General features: G+C 36.4%; 1 long non-coding RNA gene across 1 annotated transcript in view; it reads left to right on the forward strand.

Moving 5' to 3' along the window:
• Positions 1–2325: 2325 nt before the first annotated feature.
• LINC02147 (long intergenic non-protein coding RNA 2147) overlaps positions 2326–22795 on the forward strand; it is a 535702-nt gene continuing 515232 nt past the window's right edge. The window contains exon 1 of the long non-coding RNA NR_104997.1: positions 2326–2373. This is a non-coding gene — a long non-coding RNA (long intergenic non-protein coding RNA 2147). The remainder of the gene's footprint in view (positions 2374–22795) is intronic.

Raw genomic sequence — 22795 nt, forward strand, 5'->3', positions numbered from 1 at the left:
AAAAATAAATATTTTAATATTTCTAATATTTCTCCTGGTAGAAGCCCTGAAGTGATATAAAGTGCCTGCATTATAATGAAAATGAACTTGAGCAAACCTTGCATTTGGATGTGGATTTTTCCTATGGATCAGGATTTTTGAGTACCTGGAAGAGAAAAGGAGCATTATTTGTTATAATACTTTAACAACTATTTCAGTACTGCTTGTTAGACAATTTTTAGGAAGACTACACATAACTTTTTAGGAGATATGTGGAAAAAACAGATGTTGACCAGTATTACTGTGGTACATAGGTGGAATGCAATTGCTCTTTGATACAAAGCTCTACAAAAAAAAAAAAAAAAGGTTTTTTTAAATTATAGATTTTCCTAGTTAACCTGTAACTGTGTTTTTTTTCTTAGAGAGATAAAGTGATGGAAAAGAAGGATGAATAGTCTGCCCAGGACTCATAATGTTGGTATTTCTTTTTTATAGTTAATTCACAAAGGTGGTTATCACTGGTAACTCTTTGTGGAAAATTCTCCATTCTTTTTTCTTTAGAAGTAAAAAGGGACTGTTTCATATTTTATCCAAATTACAACCAAATTGGTGAGGAAAATGTGAGTCAAAGTATTTTCTAAGTCATAAATATTTTTGAATGTTTTTGCTACTAAAGTTTCACTATAACAAATCTCAAAGAAATAAAATATACTAATAGGACATTTATGCTCTTCAAGGAAGTTCTGATGGGAGCATTTAAGTCTGGCCCCAACCTGGGGACTACCTGCTTACTTATTGTCCCCGAGGTTATAGTCATACCCTGAGGTCAGTGGCTTCAATCTTTCTGTAGTTGCTGGTCAGCTGTGGGACAGAACTGAATCCACCTCACATTCTATGTTGGGTACAGCTGAAATTTAGTGAGTTCAGCTGGGCACAAAGCTGAGTAATTTTCAAATAGAATAAAGCAAAGCTGTAATCTATATCTTTTTCTTAAACACCCTCTGTACCTACCCATTAGTAATAAATTTGGCTGGGTGGTTAGAGTTTGGGATGTAGAAGTGACTCTAATATTTAAGAGATGAGTCTGCTAGTTTACTCTTTTTTAAAATAATTTTTGAATTTTGAAACTTAATTTCTAAATAACACTCTCTAAAGAATCTAGATCAAAAATTGTTATTTCATCAGGAGCATTAACTAAATAAACACTGTTAATAATAGCATTGAAAATTATTACACACCTATTGGCTCAAGCTTATGGCTTTTGGTAGAAGAAATAGCAGACCATAATTCAGATTTCATTCATTCATTCCCATCAAGAGGAAAGGGTTTGCCGATCTAAATTTGAGCAGGTTGGTGAAGTATGCATATGTCTTTACAAACTTATTTCATAGTTTCATTTAACAAATCTTCAGGTTCAATTTCACCCTCAATACATGCCTTATAGAGATAGATATCACAATTATTAGATGAATTTATGATTTTAGGGTTTGCATCATACCCATATATTCACAAGTTTATAAATTCTGTTTTTAAAACCATCAGATCTTGTGAGACTTACTATCATGAGAACAGCACAAGAAAGACCTGCCGCCATGATTCAGTTACCTCCCACCGGGTCCCTCCCACAACATGTGGGAATTCAAGATGAGATTTCGGTGGGGACACAGCCAAACTATATCAAGAGTTTAACTGACAACTGCAATCATCCCAGACACCTGACCCCACTTGCCTGTACCTTTCCTCGGAGGTCCAATAAAAATGCCTGAAGCTCAGTGTTCCATTTAGGGTTCCACTTTCTCACCAGGATGTCTGTACAAGAGATGCATAGTCTTACGGGAGAGTAAAGTATATATCTTTAAACAATTTGTTTACTATGATATTCTACTAAGTGCATTTATTATCTTGCTTTCTCTCCTACCAGCAAAGGAAAAAAAATCATCTTAAGTAAATTTTTATAGATGATACTATCCCAAATTCTTCAACAAATGTTTTCCTGTATAATTTTTAAAAGGTTTGTTAAATGATAATGCCTTACTGATAGATTGTTGTATAGAAACTTTACTGGAAGGGATTCAGGAATACTGAAGAATGGAAGAAATCACAGAGAAGTCCAGCTTCTGATTCACCTTTGTGGGTGATATGGTTAGGCTTTCATCTTGAACTGTAATCCCCATGTATCAAGGAAGGAACCTGATGGGAGGTGATTGGATCCTGGGGGTGGTTCCCCTATGCTGTTCTCTTGATAGTGAGTTCTCAGGAGAACTGATGGTTTTAAAAGTGGCTCTTCCTTCTTCACTCTGTCTCTCTCCTGCCACTATTTAAGATGTGACTTGCTTCCCCTTAGCCTTCTGCCATGATTGGAAGTTTCCTGAAGCCTCCCAGCCATGCGGAACTGTGAGTCAATTAAACCTCTTGATGTGGTTTGGCTGTGTCCCCACCGAAATCTCATCTTGAATTCCCACGTGTTGTGGGAGGGACGCGGTGGGAGGGTCTTTCCTATGCTGTTCCTAAGCTCACAAAATCTGATGGCTTTATAAACAGGAGTTTGCCTGCACAAGCTCTTTTTTTCTTTCTGGCCGCTGTCCACGTAAGATGTGACTTGCTCCTCTTTGCCTTCTGCCATGATTGTGAAGCTTCCTAAGCCACGTGGAACTGTGAGTTCTCCATTAAACTTCTTTCCTTTGTAAAGTGCCTAGTCTGGGTTATGTCTTTATCAGCAGCGTGAAAACGGACAAATACACCTCTTTTCTTTATAAATTGCCCAGTCTCAGGTAGTATCTTTGTAGCAGTGTGAGAACAGACTAATACAGTGGGCATGTTCTGCTCCATACAATCTGACACTTGATTATAAAGTAATTGTTCGCTGTACGTTCTTTTATCTCAGAATAACCTGTTTTCTAATTAGTGCTTTATAGAGTGTTATAAAGTGTTATAAAGTGTTACAGAGTGTTACTTTAGCCTTTGCTTGCTGCAAAAGAAAAATTGGGCCAGAAATTGGCTATATATCTATCGGATCTCCCTCCCTCCCTTTCTATCTCCCTTTCTCTCTCTGACGAATCTAATCTGTGAACGATGGCATTTGAAAGCAAAGCAAAATGCAAAATACGCAAAAATAAAAGTTCTCTGGTGTTAGAAGACAGAAGAATCTTTTGAAAATTTAATTAAAAATTAAATTACCAGGCCTCTTCCTTAGAAATTCTGATGTGGTAAGTCTGAGCTGGTATCCAGGAATTTCCACTAAATAAGCTTCCTTGTAATTCCATTGCAGGTGATTCTTCTACTCATGTTAAAAACACTGGCTTAGGGAATCTGTATTAGGGATTATTCTGGTTGGCAGAATTTACCTATTTTCTAGCTATTCTACTGATATTTCCAGAACTGGTGGTCTATGATAAAGCATTTGAAACTTAAGTATTCGATTCTGGCTATTTGAAACTCACATTTTTCCCAGAAGGGCATTATTGTCCTATTATGAACCCAACAGCCATTCCTGCTTTCCTTTTTATTGACTTTTGCTTGACCTACTCAGAAATAACTATTATTTGGGTCCAGCGAGGCCCCAGGCTGTTACATATTTAGCACTTCTTTCTCCAACTCTAAGCCATCCAGCTTGGCTTAGCTATATAAAAAGCTCTTTCTCACAGCGGTGTTTCTGCCTGGTTGTTTATTTAGTGCATATCAGTTCACTGTTGCTTGCTGAATTGTTTCTTTTTGCTTGGCAGAGATGTTAAGTTCCCTGCTCCTATTGCTACATATTATCTGCAGCTTTCAGCCAAAATTATTAAGCAGATTTTGTTTAGTGAAGCTACATTTATTTAAAACAATTTTCTTTACCTGCAATCATTTGACTTTTTCATGATGTTCCTGCCTGATTTGCTTGAGATTTTTAATGATAATTCACCAAATAGTATACGGGAAGGTGGTTTATAAAATCATGTAGGTATTTGAATGGTTCAAAGGATTTTACTGTTCCTTCCACCCCAACATGTACCTCTTTTCATTGTAATTTGCTTGTGTGTGTGTGTGTGTGTGTGCGTGTGTGTTTTCATCCCTTCTCAGTTCTTGAAAAAGAAGTTGTGCCACATAATTAGTGGCCATTTAAGTCAGAGGTAATTTTTGGTTTACAGTAGCCATATGTCCTGATGGCACAGTTATTTCAAATACATTATTCAATTTTCTTCATGAATGTATTCATAGTTAATATGAGCGAGTCCTGAATTACGGGTGAGGGTTTATTTTCACCATTGCTCAATTTCAACAATTTGTGTTAATTCTACCTTCTAAACATCTCATGTATTCTCTCCTTTCCGTCCCAGTTGTCACTGCCTTAGTAAGCTGTCACTGTATTCTGCGGTGGACCATTAGGGGCCTGAACCTGAACTTCTATTTGCCCTCTGGATTACTCTGTTTAAATTCTTCCACTACACTTGAGTGATCCTGGACAATCTGCCTTCTCATGCCTCTGTGTCAGTGGTCCCCAACCTTTTTGGCACCAGTGACTGGGTTTGTAGAAGACAATTTTTCCATAGACTGGGGTGGGGGGAAATTGTTTCAGGATGATTCAAGTGCATTACATTTGTTGAGCACTTTATTTCTATTACATTGTAATATATAGTGAAATAATTATGCAATTCACCGTGAAGTAGAATCAGTGGGAGCCCTGAACTTGTTTTCCTGCAATCAGATGGTCACATCCGGGGGTGATGGGAGATAGTGACAGATCATCAGGCACTAGATTCTCATAAGGAGCTCGCAACCTAGCTCCCTCACATGTGCACTTCAAATAGGGTTTGTATTTGCTCTTAATAGAATCCAGTGCTGCTGCTGATCTGACAGGAGTTAGAGCTCAGGAGGTAATGCCAGTGATGGAGAGTGGCTGTAAATATAGATGAAGCTTTGTCCACTTGCTAGCCGCTCACCTCCTGATGTGAAGCCCAGTTCTCAACAGGCCTCAGACTGATACCCGTCTGTGGCCCAGGGGTTGGAGCCCCTACTGTATGTGTTTGCCTGTGACCTTCCCTGGCCTGAAGTTCACAGCCCAGCTGACCCACTGGCAATTCCTAAGCATTATTTAAGAAAGTTAGTGTAAAACTCTTCTCAGTAGCTTCAAAACTCCTCTCTGTCTCAAGTGGGCCACTTGAGTCCTTGTTCTCATCTATCTCCTGTGTCCTCTTTTGTTGCAGAAGTTGTGACGTGTCATGGAAAATATTGTTTTCTTCATCTGTTTCTTTGGAAAATTGATGTCATTTTGCTCATTAAAAATCTTTTGCCTAGCCAAGTATCTTGCAGGAAATAGATGTTGATTTAAGAAATAAGTATTTACATGTGATAAAGAAGAAAGAATATAATAAATTGACGTTTGTGTTCATTGGCCTCCATTATTTTTAATGTAAGCCCTATTTCACTTGCCAAATTTTTGAGTCTGCAGGAAAGTTATTTCCCTGTCTGTTATAAAGATTTTATGTTTTTATGTCCTTGTTGAAGAGTTGAGCTCCAATTTTTTTTTAAGAGACAGAGATTGTCGGGTGTAGTGGCTCACGCCTGTAATCCCAGCCCTTTGGGAGGCTGAGGCAGGCAGATCACCAGGTCAGGAGATGGAGATCATACTGCCCAACATGGTGAAAACCTGTCTCTATTCAAATACAAAAAATTAGCTGGGCATGGTGGCACATGTCTGTAGTCCCAGCTACTCTCAGGAGACTAAGGCAGGGGAATTGCTTGAATCTGGGAGGGGGAGGTTGCACTGAGCCAAGATCATGCCACTGCACTCTAGCCTGGCGACAGAGTAAGACTCCATCTCAAAAAAAAAAAAAAAAAAAAAAAAAAAAAGAGAGAGACAGGGTCTCACTGCATCATCCAGTCTGTAGTGCAGTGGTGTGATCATAGTTCACTTTAACCTCAAATTTCTGGGCTCAAGCAATCCTCCCACCTCAGCCTCTCAAATAGCTAAGACTACAGGTGTGCACTACCACACCTGACTAATATTCTCTGTTGACCTCTGTTGTTGTTGCTTCAGGTGGCAGTTTAAATATAATCTAAGAAATGAAACTTGACCTCAACTCACTACAAACCTCACCTACATGACGGTTATACCCATGGGAGAACGTCACGTATATGTTTATCTCTGTTCCCATGTGAAAATGACAGTTTTGAGTCTCTTTAATCTAGTTTTTATCCTGGTAATTCCCAGAATATCAGGACATTGTTTAATTTTTATATTCCTACTACAAGATAACACATTGTTCTGTCTAGATCTTTTCCTGCCTGTTCCCTCCAAAGCTACTCTCCGTGCTGCCAAACTCAAGGGTTTAGTTCAGATCTCAGCTGAAACTTCAAGAAAGGTTTTCATGATTGTCTAAGGCAAAGTCCAGTGATTGTCACTTACCTCCCTAAGCCCTGCTTTCACTCCTATGAGAGCATTTATTACTTTGCAATATGACAACATATTCACATCTCTGTAGTTAAATGTTAAACTATTAAATTGCAAACAGAGATTATCTCCTTCACTGTTAAACCCATGTACTTAAAGAGGTGTCTGTATAATAAATATTTATTACATAAATACAACTTTTTGTGTTAGAACTGACATTACCGTTGATCCTTGAATAACATGAGTTTGTACTGTGTTTGTACACTTTTACCTTGATATTTTGCAATAAACATATTGAAAAATTATTTGGAAATTTGTGAAAATTTGAAAAAAACTCACAGATGAATCCTGTAGCCTAGAGATTCAAAAAAAAAAAAAAAAAAACAAAGGAAAACTTAGTTGTGCTGTCAATTCATAAAATAGATGTAGATACTAGTTTATTTTAGCATTTACTATCATAAAAATACACAAGTCTATTATGAAAATTTAAAATTTATCAAAACTTATACAAACACCTACAGACATGGTGCTATTTGCAGTTGAGAGAAATGTAAAGAAATATAAAGATGCGGTATTAAATCATGACTGAGTGCAATTTACTGCAGTACACACCATACTACTGTAATAATTTCATAGCTATCTCCTGTTGCTATTGTGGTGATCTCAAGTATTGCAAGGATCTGCTTACATGCCATGTGACAATAATTATCTCTTTTTGTGCAGTTCTTCTCTCCAGTTAATTGTGTGTCTCAGTAAAATTGATCTCTCCAAGTTCTTGCATATTTTTCATTGTGTTTACTGTAATACTTTAAATAACACCATGGGACCCACATAAAGTGTCACTAGTGTTTCTGGGAGTGCTCCCAAGAAGCAGAGAAAAGTCGTGACATTACAATAAAAAGTTCAATTACTTGATATGTATCATAGATTGAGGTTTGCAGCTGCAGTGGCCACCATTTCAAACAGATTATTTATCTTGTAAACAGATGACATAAACTTACAGCATCAATGAATAAAGTGTAGTTCTGTACATTTATTTTTCTTCCTTATGATTTTCTAACATGTTCTTTATTGTAGGAATACAGTATATAATACATATGACATAGAAAATGTGTTCATCAACTGTTTGTTATTGGTGAGGTTTCCAGTCCACAGCAGACTAATAGTAATTACATTTTGGGGGTGTTAAAAGTTACATGAGGATTTTTTATGGCAGGGGCTGGAAACCCCAACCCCTTCATTGTTCAAGGGTTGGTTGTAATCGTTTTGAAAATGAAAAGTACATTCTTTGAAATGACCATATAGAAAGATCCAAGCTGGAACCTGCAAAACAAAGGTTGGAATTGGAATTTTATGATTCAATATAGGCTTTCTGATGATTAAGAAAATTTAATCTATGTTATCTTCTTACATGTCTTATGACAAATGAAAAGTAGCATATATTGTTTTTATGCTAGGAAGCTTTAAAAGTGTTATTGTTTGGCTCCGTTTGAGATCTTTTGAGTTGCCCCTTTAAAAGTAGCTGACTTAGAAAGTGCTCAGGTAATGTCAGTGTCAGTTTTCTGATGAGCTACCAAGTGCTGATGTGCTCCTGAGTGAGGGCACAACCGTGTTTGAGTGAGAGTCTCAGCTGAGTGGACAGGTGGCCATTTGGCTGGGTGACAGTAGGGCTGTCTCTACAGAAAAATTCACAAGTAAAGCTGATGACAGAAGTAGAAATGAATCCTTTATTGGTGTGAGGTAGGTAGATTCAATCACAGTTAATTAAGGATGACAGAAAGGACATAAACTGAATTACAGTCTAATGAAGCACTTGGCCTTATTTGCTGTGTGACAGACATTCTGGCTATTGGCTCTCTTTTACTTTGAGGACATTTGGATTTTCTCTTTTAGACACACATGATCATGTGCAGAATAGCAGAGTCTGAGTGCAGACTAATCCCATGACAACCTTGGATATTGTGATTGTTGTTCCCTATGCCCCAAGAGCTCTGCTTCCCACTTAGACATGGAAGAACCAGTATAGGTACCTGGAGAATTTTGCTTAATGACCTGCAAGTTGCTCAGTGATCTGAAGGTTTGTGTCTGAAATTATGGAGGCATAACTCTCTCCTTTTTGAATCAATGAATATATGCATCTGTTTGACTAATTAGTACTCCAAGAAATCTAAGCTCTCATGTTACAGTATATGCCTTTTATTTTTTCTAATAACCTTGTCACTTGAATTCTTTTCATAAATGATATTTAGAAGATACACTCATGAAAATGACAGTATACTCCATGCCAAGTCTTATTGTGATTGTCATTCCTGATGTTTAATAAACTCACATTTATGTATAGCCCATCCATCTCTTCCCCTTTCCAGGACACAGTGTTGTTTTCATTTTACCCAGGCACTTTTCCTTTTAATGTTCACTGCATTGTCAAACATACCTTATCTGAAGTAAATGATGTTACTGGCTGTCCTGGGGGAACACAGTAAATATCCGTAGGTAAATAAAAGCTCTGGTAACTTCTGCAATGTCAACTTTATCTCTGTCACCATTATGGTGATGGAAAGCATGCGAAGCCTGCTGGTCCATTTCATCTCCCTGACTACATCTCTTGCAGTTGGGGGAATGTGACTGATGTGCAGCTACACAAGAGTTTTAATTAATTTGAAATACTACAGCAGCAAGTAAAGATAAAGTTTCAATACTCAGATGTATCTAGAGGCCTAGTATCATTAGCAACTTCGTCAATATTCATTCATCTATTTATTCATTTATGGGAGTCTCATGCATAACTAGAAGATTTGAGCTGTTTAGAGAGATCAGCCAATCTTCCCATGGGGAAAGAACACTTGTTCTAATATATTAATGATCAGTAGAAATTAAGTTATGCAAGAAGAAAGAGAGAAGCCTTCCAAGTAGTGACTATATAAAAGTTATTTTAGTATGAAAAAATCTGTTGAGTACAAAGAATAGCAAGAAGGTTTGTGTGGCTAGAGTGAAAAGACTAAGAAGGATAGAGTATGGTTTGAGATGATGTTGGGGAAGTATGTGGAAACCATATCATGCTAAATATTGTCACCCATGTTAGAAGTTTTTGTCTTTATCATTAAAACTATGAGAAACCTCTGAAAGTTTTAAGAAGTGTGACTATGTATTGTTTGTGGTACAGATATCTTTCTGAGTGTGTCTATGGGGTATCTAACTGTGGCATGTAGCTGTGATTCTCTGGGTGCATGTGTTTGGATGAGTGGCATAAGCAAATTTTATTAACCTATTCAATAAGTATTTTGAGCACCTGTTCCGGGTACTCTTCTAGTTCTTGAAATGAGACCTGTAGATAAGATACACAAGATTTTTGATTTCATGGGAACATTCTTCTGGGAAAACACAAGATTTAAAATACCCAAAGTCAAATAATGAAATAATATAATTTTGTGTAACGATATGTGCCATGAAGAAGATTAAGTAAAGTAAGAATATAGAGGATGAGATGTGACAGTGATTAGGGGAAACCAAAGTGAGGGAGTGAGTTATGAGAAGATGTAGGGAAGAGCATTCCAGACTGTGATGAGTAAGCGAAAGTCTTAAGGGGGGTATGAGCTTAGCGTGTTTGAGGAGCAACAAGAAGACTATGAAAGAGGCACCAGGCTAGGACATGAGTTGAGATGAGTTCAGAAAGGTAGTTAGGGTTTAGATTTAAAGACCTCACATGGCATATTTATTAGTGCCTTCCCACTGTGAAGTATGGCTAAAAGATTATAGAGAACAAGGGAGGATATAATGATAGATGCAGAGAGTGACAAGTCTTTTGCAATAGATTTGGTAAGATAGAGTAGTAGTTTGTGGAGGAGGATCAGATTCTGGATACGTTTTGAAGGCAGAGCCAACAAGACTTACTGATGGATTAGATATAGACGGTAGTTGGAGAGATCATGGACAGAAAAACTAATTTTGTTTTGGGCCTGTGCAACTGGGTAAATGGTGATAGCACATACTGAGATGGAGAAGATCAGGGGGAGAATGGAATTAAGGAGAAATTATTCTATCATGTATTTGGGATTTTTTTTATAATGTCAGAATAGGCATTCTGACATTCCTGTTAAGCATACAAGCCAAGATCAGATTATGAAGTTGAACATGAGTATGGTTTGCATTTTTAAAATGTGTCTACCTTTGATGTAGAGCAGATTGTTGTGAAAGCACTCTTGCCTCCCACCCTACTCTCTTAGTAACCAAACTGTAGTCAAAGTGTGATTTAAATGTACATACTTAAAGGAGGAGGTGGTAGAAGGAAGTGATATCGTAACATTGAAGAGTTCCAGATGTAACTTGAGCTTCACAGTGGAGTGGGATGGAGGAGATTTAAAGATTTCCAGGGTGTTGGCTGTGAGCCTAATGAGTTTAGTCCTAATTTCCTGATGGAGGAGGAAAGTGAGGTATCCATCCCTTTCCATCCAATTATAGAACCCTCTGCAGATCATCATGTAAGGCTATAGACTGTGTGCATGTACAACTTCAGGAGCAATGTACCTAGAGTGAGACAGGAGAGGTGGCTGGTGGTCCTTGGAGTGGAGCGGATCGGCAGACCTCCTTCTATCACTTTTATTATTGTAAATCTATGCTGTCTGATACAATAGCCATTAGCCATAGATAGCTACTTAAATTTAATAAAATAAAAACTAAATAATATTTAAAATGCAGTTGTTCTGTAGCACTAGCTATATGTCAAGTGCTTAATTCTCACATGTGGCTGGTGACTACCATACTGAACGGGGCAGATACAGAATATTTCTATCATCAAAGCAAGTTATTTTAGACAGTATAATATGAAGAAAGAAGTGGATTGGATGATTTACTGTATTTCTGCCTTGTAGTTCAATTTCTCTCTCTTGAGACTAAATGCAAATATTTTATATTATAGAGAATCCAGTATGAATTCAAACTTAATCAGGAGTTTGTGATAGGAAATATCCAATAGGTTGGAGTCATATACTCCTGCAATTCTCCTATATGGGCTTTACCTTTAAAATATTAAGCACACACACATATATATACCATCTTAGATAATAAAACAAATCACTGCTCTTCTTATATTGAGACTTGGAAACAGCTTCTGCATTAATTCAAAGAAACACAATAAAAAATAGAGTTGGTCAAAGCTTGTTTATTCTATTTAGAGTCCCAGAAATGTACTTCCTATTTCTTTTGTTCCAATTTGATGAAGCTTTGACACTACAGCGAATTATGTAAGTTATAAACAAAGAACTACATCATTATGAGCAGAACTTAACGTAATATCGTAATATCAGCCTTTAATGGTCTTTTGTAAACCTGTGGTATGAATAGCAGTGCCTTACAGAAAATAGCACAACTGATCTAAAGAAAGCACTTTCATTCTGCACATTAACTCATTCAAGAATAAAGGACACCACACTATACAATGAAGTGTATTGAAATAGAAAAATTCATGAAGCCAAGACTGCCAAATTATTTATCTTTCATTAAAAGAGAAAATCACACATTATTATCTCTGGTAAATGAACGTGTTTGTCAAAGTTGGCCGTGGGCTCAGAAATAATAATCATAAGAAATTCTATCCTCAATAAAGTAAGTATAACTCTGTTTTAATATAAATTTTAGGAAAGGGATTTCTGAGCATGGAGTACTTTCAAAGGAAAATTTAAATAGCCCTGTGGGTCTTGCCTGACCATCAGTAGGGATGACACATGCGTCTCTACAACTCGGTGGAATAGCTCATCCATGCCAAAGATATTTTTCTATCCTTGTAACTCAGTTACTGATCAATTCATGCATAAGCAAGAATCTTAATAACGATTGAAGATTTTCAGCTATAGAAGCTTGGAATTCTATGCCCAGAAAGGAAGTAGATATGCAACACTTTTTAATTTTAATAACTCCCCCTTTTTACTTTTTTGGAAAATTTAAATAATATGTGCCAGAGAAAGATACCAAACAAGAATTTCCATTTCAAAACAGTTTCATTTGAGGCTATACAATGAATAGCATGGAGATAATGTGCAGGTGTCCTGTCTTGGTTCTCACAGTCAAGAGCAAAAGTTTCAGCCTACTAAAACTGAGAGCTTTCAACTTAGAAACTCTTTTTGTTCTAATCATAAACCATGCATTTGCAGGAAGCAAGGACATGCCAAATTAAATAAAAAGTTTCCTTTCCTGTTTCAGAGAAACTCTGAAGAAGGTTTTTCTTTTTAAATTATTTGTTTATTTATTTTTTTTTTTTATTTTTAGGGGCAAACTGCCAAGTCTGTAAATATTCCTGGAAAAATTTCTGAATAGGCACCTCTTGATATTTTCATTGAAGAGTCTTGTCACCTTAGAAAAAGGGAAAATATGCTGCATCCCTTAGCTATTCAAGGAGAAACTTGAGTTACAGTGAAAGATTTCTGCTATGTTTTTAGTATGATCTTCTGAAAGTTTTTGTAGATGCTGAAACTTCTGAGGGAGTTAAAAATTCACCTTTAGAACCAACCTGGCTGGCTCTAACCCCTGAAATGTTTTCCATTATTCATAGTTGCTTCAGGAGCTCATATTAACTTTCAATAGTACTGTTGTGATAATTAATGATTATGGCACCTCCATCCTGCAGGCCCTGCCCCTTTATTTTGCTGTCCTCTTGATGGAGGTTTAGATTATCTTTCTATAGAAAATATTTCATTTTAAAGAAAGTTGTGTGTATTATTTTATAAAACAATACATTCAGGTTCCATCTCATACCTCTTTTTTTTTTTCTTTTTTGGTTTGGGGGATCTATTGGACCTTTCTCCTATTTTTACTACATTCTAACTCACAGAGATGATCTGAGTTCACACCCCTTTGTTGTCAAAAGAGGAGAGACCTTTGGAAGCCACGTTGGCATACTTTCAGGTACCAAAGGAAGAAACTTAGACATAAAACTACCAACTGTTCACAGCATTGTAGAATGCCAGAGCTGGAGAAAACCCTGAAAAAAAATGCCTGAGAAACATAGCAAGATATTGTCTCTAAAAAGTTTTTCTGAAAGTTAGCCAGGAGTGGTGGTGTATGTCTGTAGTCCCAGCTCTCTGGGAGGCTGAGGTGGAAGAATCTCTTGAGCCTAGGAGTTCAAGGCTGCAGTGAGTTATGACTGTGCCAATGCACTCCAGCCTGGGCAACAGAAGGAGACCTTGACTCTACAAAAAAGATTAAAATTCTTTTAAAAAAATCTCTAAAAAATAGAGTCTATCTGCTTATATTTTAAAGATGAAGAGAGATTTACATACAGATAGATTTTGTGAATCAAAGCTGAGTCTAAGTTTCAGGTCTCTGGATTGCCAGTAGAGCCCTCTTTCCCAATACCCTGTACTCTTGCTGCTGTCTTTCCTGAGTAGCATTTAGTCTCTCTAACTTATTTACTTTAATCCCAAGTGGAGTTGCCTACATTACTCCCTTTCTGGTCTCTGGAGCGTGTGACTCTTTGCTGTGTGCCCCAGACCCATCCCTGACCCTCTGGAAACTTTGTGACTATCACCCACAAACAGCTCCATCCCTTAACAGCTCCATCCCTTTCTGTGAACCTCTGGCATCTGTTTCTCTAACCATCATTTTCTTTCTTCTCTTTTGTCTCTGTTCCTAAGGGTTTATCTGATATCTGTTCTCAGGGTAAACAAGTCAGGCTATAAATTCCCCTTACAGGAATTTTGGACAGGAACAGCCTGACTTATCTTAGAACTTTGACACTTCAGAGAATTGGAAAATGTACTTCATCTTGCAGGAGGCATCCCTCAGCATTTTTAGCAGGAAAAATATGTTTTCTCTGCTAAGTGCTTTTAGTGCTTCTCAATTATATTCTTTTCTCTTTCTGCTTTTCCTTCAATTTTTTTAGTAGGTAATCCACTTGTTGGATTATCATGAGCATGTGAAATTTATAATAACAATAAAAAACTCATAATGATGTACAGTATTTAGGGTGAAAATAAATCATAATTCCTGAATAGAGCAAGGAGCCCAATTAGAACCTAGGATCTAAATGTATCAATTATTAATAGTTAGATGGACTGAGTAAAGTAGATTGAACCATATTCCACCTGGAATTGATGTTATCTCCTCAGAAAGATGATTTTATCTTCTCCAGCTTGGGGAACCTACTTCATCATAGGCAGGAGTTGGGAACAGATAAAAGTCCTGACGGTGATTCCTGAGGTAAGCAGTAGGTTAGGGGACAGAAACCCAAGGGATCAGCCTCCTCCCAGCAGTCTCCTCTAACTCAATCACCCTGTCTAGCCCAAAATTGTGCACTAATGGAAGTGAGGCTCCATCCAGTCTTCCTTGTCAGGGAAGTCCCTTCTCGCAGGAGGAAGGAGGAATGTGGAAGGATTTATTTTGAGTACATCTAGAAAGGTGGAAAGTGATGGTGAAGCTACCCGTTTATGTGTGGAATCAGGAATATGGGATGAAAATTTTTTCAAATTTTTTTATTTCAGTCTAAATAAGAATTAACATCTAGAGTTAAGAAAATGATGTTTATCTTTCTAGAGCATCTATCATGCATTAGAAATGATGCTAGTGTTTTACATACTTTATCTCAAGCCTATCAATAACCCTTTAAATGGTATAAAAGAACAATTCACCTCTCTCCCCATATTCTCCCCAATTCAATCATTGTATAAGCCTGTGGAATCTAAATATCATCCTAGTAAAAAGCAAGGAGGAAAAAAACTGAATTGATCAAGTGTAAATATTTAATAACTGAATTCACCTAAAACTTACTAAGATATTAATATTTTCCAATGGAGTAGAACAGAAAAAGATAAAGGAAGTTGCAATTTAAATATTTTTGAATACTTGGATTTAAAATTCATAAATTTGTTACAAATTCTTACATTGTAATATTACAAATGATACATATGTAAACATTATGAGGTGAAACTGGCAAGCAGGAGGCCAATCGGGTTGAGCTTGGGAAGGAAGGCTTTTGCCCATGGATGGTATTCTAGGTATAGAAGAACGGCAGGAATAAGACAAAGTGCTAGGAGGAGTTACATGGTCTTATTTTTGAGGGAAGAACTTAGCCACAGAACTCAGGCTCAAAGCTAACATGAGGCCACAGCCACTGTTGTTACACAGCACCCTGACCTCCTGGTCTGGGTTCTTCAGAACAACAACAGAAACTATCTTGAGATCTAATTTAGCATTAGCTCAGCAGGTGGGGATTATTTGGCCCAGATAAGGGAACCGGTAAGTGTAGTGGCACGTGGCCTCATTTCTTAGAATTGAAATGCACCTGGTTTGTATTTCTATTAAAACAACTCTCACTGCCGACCTTGAACATTAAAATACATTATTTCAGACTGTACATACGAATTTTAATAGTGTTAAGTTTCAGCCTCTTTTCTTGAATAAGCATTTTTCATTCCCAATCACAGTTTTTGTTTAGTTTTATGCTTATAGATGAATCCTAGTTGTACATATTTTTGGCATACTTGTGATATTTTGATACATGTATGCAATGTGTAATGATCAAATCAGGGTAATTGCAATATCCATCACTTCAAACATTTACCTTTTCTTTGTGTTGGGGATATCACAATTCTCCTGTTCTAGCTATTTTGGACATAGAGTAAGTTTTTGTTAAATTTTTCTACCGTACTATTAGATACTAGAACTTGTTCCTTCTATCCTACAATGTTTCTGTAACCATTAGCCAACTTCTCTTCTTCCTGCCCATCACTTCCCAGCTTCTGGTAACCACCATTCCAGTCTCAACCTCCATGAGATCCAATTTTTTTTAGCTCCTACATCCCAATCACTTTTTGAGGTAGCTGAAGCATCATCTACCCACTGATAGATGTACCTGGTTTACTTCAGTCACGTGGCACACAGACCTTTAGACAATTCTTTCTTTTTCTAGGAATTATATCCATATATAACCTAGGGAAATAAAAAGTTACCAGGAGAATCACCACGTCTATTACTTAAAAGGGACATCAGAAGTGAATATTCCAACTTTCCAGCCATGTGGACATCCCGTCTATAGCATCCCTAAGGGGAGGTCTGGTCTCCTAGCCTGTCTTATGTTGATTGGTTCCTCTTTCTAAAATGTCTTTGCTCTGGCCTAAGAATCTGGGAGAAAAGCACTCCAAAGGATGCAGGATAAAGAACACATTCGTTTGAAATTAGGAAAGATGAAATTTGGAAAAAATAGTAGCATTAAGGGTTGCACTAAATGTATTATAAACCAAAGGTTAATAATCTGTTTCTTAAATTCTTCCTTCAAATTTAAATAATTTTTTCATATATCAGTTGTCAGTTCTATTCATTCATCATTTATTCCAAAATAAATTTAAAATACCATAGAAGCACATAAAAAACAGCAAACCAACAGAAGTGAGAAGAAAATCAAAATAATGCGAGACAAAAATGAGGCAGGGACAGAGGACATTACAAAGTCTATTCAGTTGTTGCATATACTTACAATGAGTGGTTATCAGACTTTATTCACGTAGTTGCATAGGGATCATTTATTTTCCTTGAAGTCATTGAATTGATTTAATTGATTTAAATAGAAGTGTGTCCTATGCTTTTCTACTTAATTTCATAGCAGATTTTTGTCTACAAATTGACACACATTTTGACCAAGTTCAAAGCTTCATAAAATCCTTTTGTTTGTACTAGTGAAATGGTCCCAGGTATTTTCTATCTCTATTTGTTTATTCCCCCAAAATATGACCACCTAATGTTGGAAATAAATGGCTCAAAAAGATTGTAAAGTAACAAATACATCTTTAAATTACAGTATATATATCCACAAATATTTATTGACTGCTAAGCACTGTTATAGAAATTTGGATCTTATCATTAAAAAAAAAAAACAAAAAAAAACCTAGCTTCCTGAAGATTACATCCAACTGTAGTGGTTTTCACTGAGCTGCATGTTGGAATCAATGAGAAAAGTAAAAAATGTTCTGATGCTTGGACCGCATGAAATTCTGAGGTAATTGATTTGGGTGTGGTCTGGGCATCATCAGGCTTTTTAAAAACTTCCCAAGTATTTTAAACATGCAGCCAAAATTGAGAACCACCATACAAGTGTAAAATAGGTAATATTTTTAATTCAAGGCAAATATTTTATATTGAATTCTGTGTCATACTCAATATCAGTGCTATTTATAGCATATAAACTAGAAAATGAAACAAGTTAAGAACTATTTTTTATGAGAGTTGTTGTAATTAAGAGGCCAGATATGAAACACCAAATGGACTTGTAATTATAAAGCGGAAACATGGTGGTAGAATAAGAGAATAAGACTTATAAAAACATCTTAATCAAATGATTGTTCTTGGGGTACAATATCACATCGCATTTTGACATCTGAATTCTTTCAGACAAGCCACAACATGGCAATAGTGTTTTGTCACAAAATTAAATAATTTGCTTTGAAAATAAATGTGTTTTTCTTTTGCATCTTTTCTTCAATACAAAAGCTTTCCTTAATGAAAAGTTGTACACAGGTTAGTGTACATGGCTATCATGTTTCTTCCAGTGAATGGGGAGTGGGTATTGTACATGAATGGTTCTTAAGGCACTATTCTGACTTCAGACCATGTACCTAGTACCCCAAATCCAAGAAATTATATATTTTTTTAAGTTGTGAATTTATGCTTGTGGTGGACAAGTTGAAGTAGTAGATTTTCTTTTTTTTTTTCCCCCCCCAAAAATAGTTTTATTTTGGAACTGATTTTTCTTTTGGCAGAACTGACTATCCAACTGTATGGCTACCTCATTCTTATGTCAGCAATTCCGAACATGTGGAGCTCTTTTTGAAAACAGTGCCTATATAGGTTTGCATTTAAGTATGTCTCTCTCATGCTTATTTATTTGCTCATTTGAAATGAAGTAGGCTGAGGCCTTATCAAACTTTAATGTGAATACAAATCACCAGTTGTCAACAAGAGTAGAGATTGAGATTTTCCCTTACCTGCAAACTAAGTTAGCCTCCCACAGTTTCATGTATTTTGGCAGAATACATGAGGTTTGTGGTCCAGAGATAACCTATTACTCACGACACAGAAGGCAGAATGATGCTTACATTACCATTGCTTCCCCTTACTCCTCAAGTACATGCTGAGTACGCAGTAGGTTTGTATCACTGTTGAGGAACTTCAAATGTAGGAAAGTCCAATCTTTAAACAAGTTACATAAAGCTCTTTTCTGCCTTTCCTCCAATGGGAAACATTATTTTTATTACCTTGGTCAGCAAATGAATCTGTCCTCTGCTTTGCAGTGAGATACCATGTCTTTCTTTTGAGACCATTTGCTATACAAACATCCTTGAAAACAAAAGCTGTCAATGCCTTCAGACTTTCAGAAGACATGAAGTATGAGATACCCATGGAGAACTGTGTCCCAACACTGAGGATTTTGTTTGAATAAAAATTCTGATTCAGGTGGTTTGGGGTTGAACCTGATATTCTTCATTGCTAACAGGTTTCTAGGTGATTGATGCCAATGACCAAATGGCAAGCAGTAGTGGGCATGTTTATTATACTCTGTAGCCTGGCATACTGTCTTGATTTTAAAATTCGGCAGAATTGTATGTGGGTATATGATGACGAGGCCATGGGGGAAAAAAAAACTGATGCGTCTCCTGACATACTATGTTTGTCTCTGTGTGTGTGTGTGTGTGTGTGTGTGTGTGTGTGTGTGTGTTGTATGCACTGACAACCTGTCTAAACGTGGCCAACTTAGAACACTGTGTAATGTCACATACTACATATTCCTGACATTATAAGAACTCTTTGCTACCTAGGCTTTTAAGGAGAAAATCTTGTGCAGTGATTAAGAGTATAGACTCCAGAGTCAAAGTTCCTAGATTCAAATTTGGATTCTGCCATTTACTAGCTCTATAAACTTTAGCTAGTTATTGAACTTCTTTGCGATTCAGTTCCCCATTTATAAAATTGAGATGATAAAAGTCAATAGGGGCCAGACACAAGGGCTCACGCCTGTAATCCCAGCACTTTGAGAAGCTGAGACGGGTTTATCACTTCAGGTCAGGAGTTCGAGACCTTCCTGGCCAACATGGTGAAAATCAGCCAGTGTGATGATGTGTGCCTGAAGTCCCAGCTACTCAAGAGGCTGAGGCAGGACAATCGTTTGAACCAGGAGGTGAGGTTGCAGTGAGCCAAGATCATGCCAGTGTACTCCAACCTGGGTGACAGAGTGAGACTCCCCACCCCCCAGAAAAGTCAAGAAGTGTCAAGTGCTTAGAAATACCAGTCCACTGGTGACAGCTACATGAATCTTTGCTATTATTGCTGGGTCTACTAACACCCTTTTTAGATGTATACATGAGTTGAAATCAAATTATGAAATGAATTGGCAAAAATACTTGCTCTTCCATTGAGCAACACGAAATATGAAGTTTACGACATTAAAAATTTGTAATCAAATTATTGTTCTCACCTAATCATGTTATTAAGGACTCAATAGCTATAAACTTCTAGTTATTAAAAAGTAAAATTATTCTCTAAGTTACATAAAATGAAAAATACATTTTTATTATATGAAATATCACAGATTGCATATATGATTAATGTACCTTAAGTGCCGTATCTTAAGAATAATACCTTAAAGTAAACAAAGTAATTACTATGCTATTGAAACATTGAGGTGAATGAATGGTCAACTAATACTTTTGTTGGCCTTCTTGAATTTAGGAGAGGCATTTGTATAATTCTGTTCAACTTAGTGAAACGGCTCTGTTGTCTGGGGTATATACCCTGGTTTTTGGTCTCAGTTGAGAAAGAATTCCAGACATTGATGCACATGGGAGTGAGTTTTAGGAGCAGAAAATTTAATAGAAAAAGAGGAGAGAGAAAAAAGGATTCCTCATATTGAGAAAGTGGGTCACCCAAAAGAGGGTCTCTAGTTTGTGGTGGAAGGCAATTGATTTTCTACAGGGGCTTGAGGAGGAGGTGATTGATTTACACAGGGCTCAGGGGATTGGATCCACCAGGTGTGTCTTTTACGTAGCCAGCGAAAAGACTGGCCCTCCCACCCTAGTCTTTTATTATGAGAATGTAGCCTCCACCTGGCTGGTCGCCATGAGGCCTGTACATGTGGGTTTATCTGGAGGCTGCCATGACACCTGGTACGAGTAGCGACAACAAAAAGAGGGCAGGAGACACCATATTGAATTTACCTGGCTTCCAGGTACAGCTGCCTGCATTTACATATAAAAGCTTCTAGTTTGCATATCTATGCCTAAGTTATCAGGTTGCTTTCTGTAAGAGAAGAAATGGTTTAGGGCTGCTTTTTACTAAAGGAAAATTCCATGGAGAACTTTGACCCTTTCTAGTTGCCTAAAAATTATTTCCTAATAACTTCTGTATTATCAGCACATATGAATAAATGTCTCTTATTTGATGGTTGTCTTACCAGACATTGCGGATATAGAAACAAGACCTAGCTATTAAGTATCTCACAATATAATGGAGAAAGAAAGGTACGCATTATATACCATTATTTAATTATAGATATTACATAAGAATTTGTGGACACTGAACAAGGAGCAATAATTTTCGGCTTCCTAAAACATGAAGTACATCAGAATTTGACATAATTGTGAATCATTTTCCTCTCAATAACATTTTCCAAAATAAAGAGCATCTTTCCTTTTGCCATTCATTTTATGCAATTTATTAAAAAAAATCATTCATTCAAAAATAATTTATTAACTGTCCTGCTATGTGCAAGGAATCTATAAGAGGTGCCAGGGTTAGAAAAACAAAATAAAAACAAAAACAAACATATGGTCTATGACCTCAAAGATGCACCGTGTGTAGTCAAGGAAGACAAATAACCGGCTGCATGAACGTTGATGTGATAATGATGGAGGTAACACACAGGTGGCTTTGAAAACGTGCCTTGAAGATCATGCCAAGGCATGCTGCTGTTCTTTCATTTAACTTTATTTTGGGGGTAATAGAGTGACTTAAACTATTTTTGCGTTTATTATCTATTTGTATATTTATTTCAGTAACTGCCTGCTCATCTGCATCATTCCCTTTAGTTTCTATTGAATTATTCATCTTCTTTTAAACTAATTTCCAAGGTTTTTATCTTCATGGCACTGCAGCATCATTAAAGGATTTTAATAAGGGAAGTAGGGAAAGGGTTTATGGGTGCACATAAATTTTGTAAAACTTATCACTATTCTATCATGTTTTTCTTATACCCTATATGGATATTTCAAAAAATCAAATCAAATCAAGCAGCAGAGTAGTATAGAGCAAGAAACAAAGTCCTCTGCTGTCTGTCTCCAGCAGTCCTACTCGCGAATGTAAGCACTTTTAAATTTATTTTGTGTTTCTTTCAATAAACTTTATAAACATAATCAAGTATGTACAGTTGACACCCTTGAAAAACATGGGGTTTAGAGTTACCTAAACACACAGCCCCCTCCCCATGCAGTTGAAAATCTGTATAACTTTTGACTCCCCAGAAACATAACTATGAATACCCTACTGTTGCCCAGAAGCGAAGTTGTATTCTTACAATAAAGTAAGCTAGAGAAAATAAAATGTTACTAAGAATATTATAAGAAAGAATATATTTACTATTTATTAAGTGGAGGTGGATCACCATGAAGGTCTTCATCCTCACCGTCTTCACATTGAGTACGCTGACAAGGGATTGGTCTTGCTGTCTCAGGGTGGCAGAGGCAGAAGTAAATTCCAGGATAAATGGACACACACAGTTCAAACTTGTGTTGTTCGGGGTCAAGAGCATCTATTTCTATCTTTATCTACCTATATATTGGTATACATATATAAAGCTTAATAGTAATTTTAATAGCAATGAAATCATTCTATTTGATATTTGTTGACTTTTCTGTTTAATGACTTGAATAATTTTTTATATATCGTTATACTTAGATTTATCTCATTCATTCCAGCTTTTTAATATTAGTAATAGCCATTGGTGATTTATACATATAATATTAAGTATGTTTTCAATCTTTTGTAGAGTGTGTTAATGGAAATAAAATTGCTAGATTAAGGGCATGTGCATTTAATATTTTAGTAGATAACACTAAAATATTTTTTTCACAAAGACAGTACCAATTTACACTCCCATCAAAAATGTATGGTTTTTTTATTTCTACCAATGCTTACCAACACTAGCTATGGTAAGCTTTCTAATATTTTCTAAACTGAGATAAAAGTTATTATTACAATTTTTTAAGGTGCAGTTTCTTAGTTATAAATAATTTAGGGTATGTTTACAAAATCGTATTCATTATTTTAACGTATGTGTAAGGGTGTGTGTGTGTGTGTCTGTGTGAATTTCCTGTTCATGTCCTTAACCAATTTTAGAAATTGAGTTGTTTTTCCTTAATCTCAAATTTATTTATATTAATTATCCATTTTAACAACCTAGAGTTATTCAAAAAT

The sequence above is a fragment of the Homo sapiens genome, chromosome 5 (genome assembly GCF_000001405.40).
Source record: "Homo sapiens chromosome 5, GRCh38.p14 Primary Assembly".
Lineage (NCBI taxonomy): Eukaryota > Metazoa > Chordata > Mammalia > Primates > Hominidae > Homo > Homo sapiens.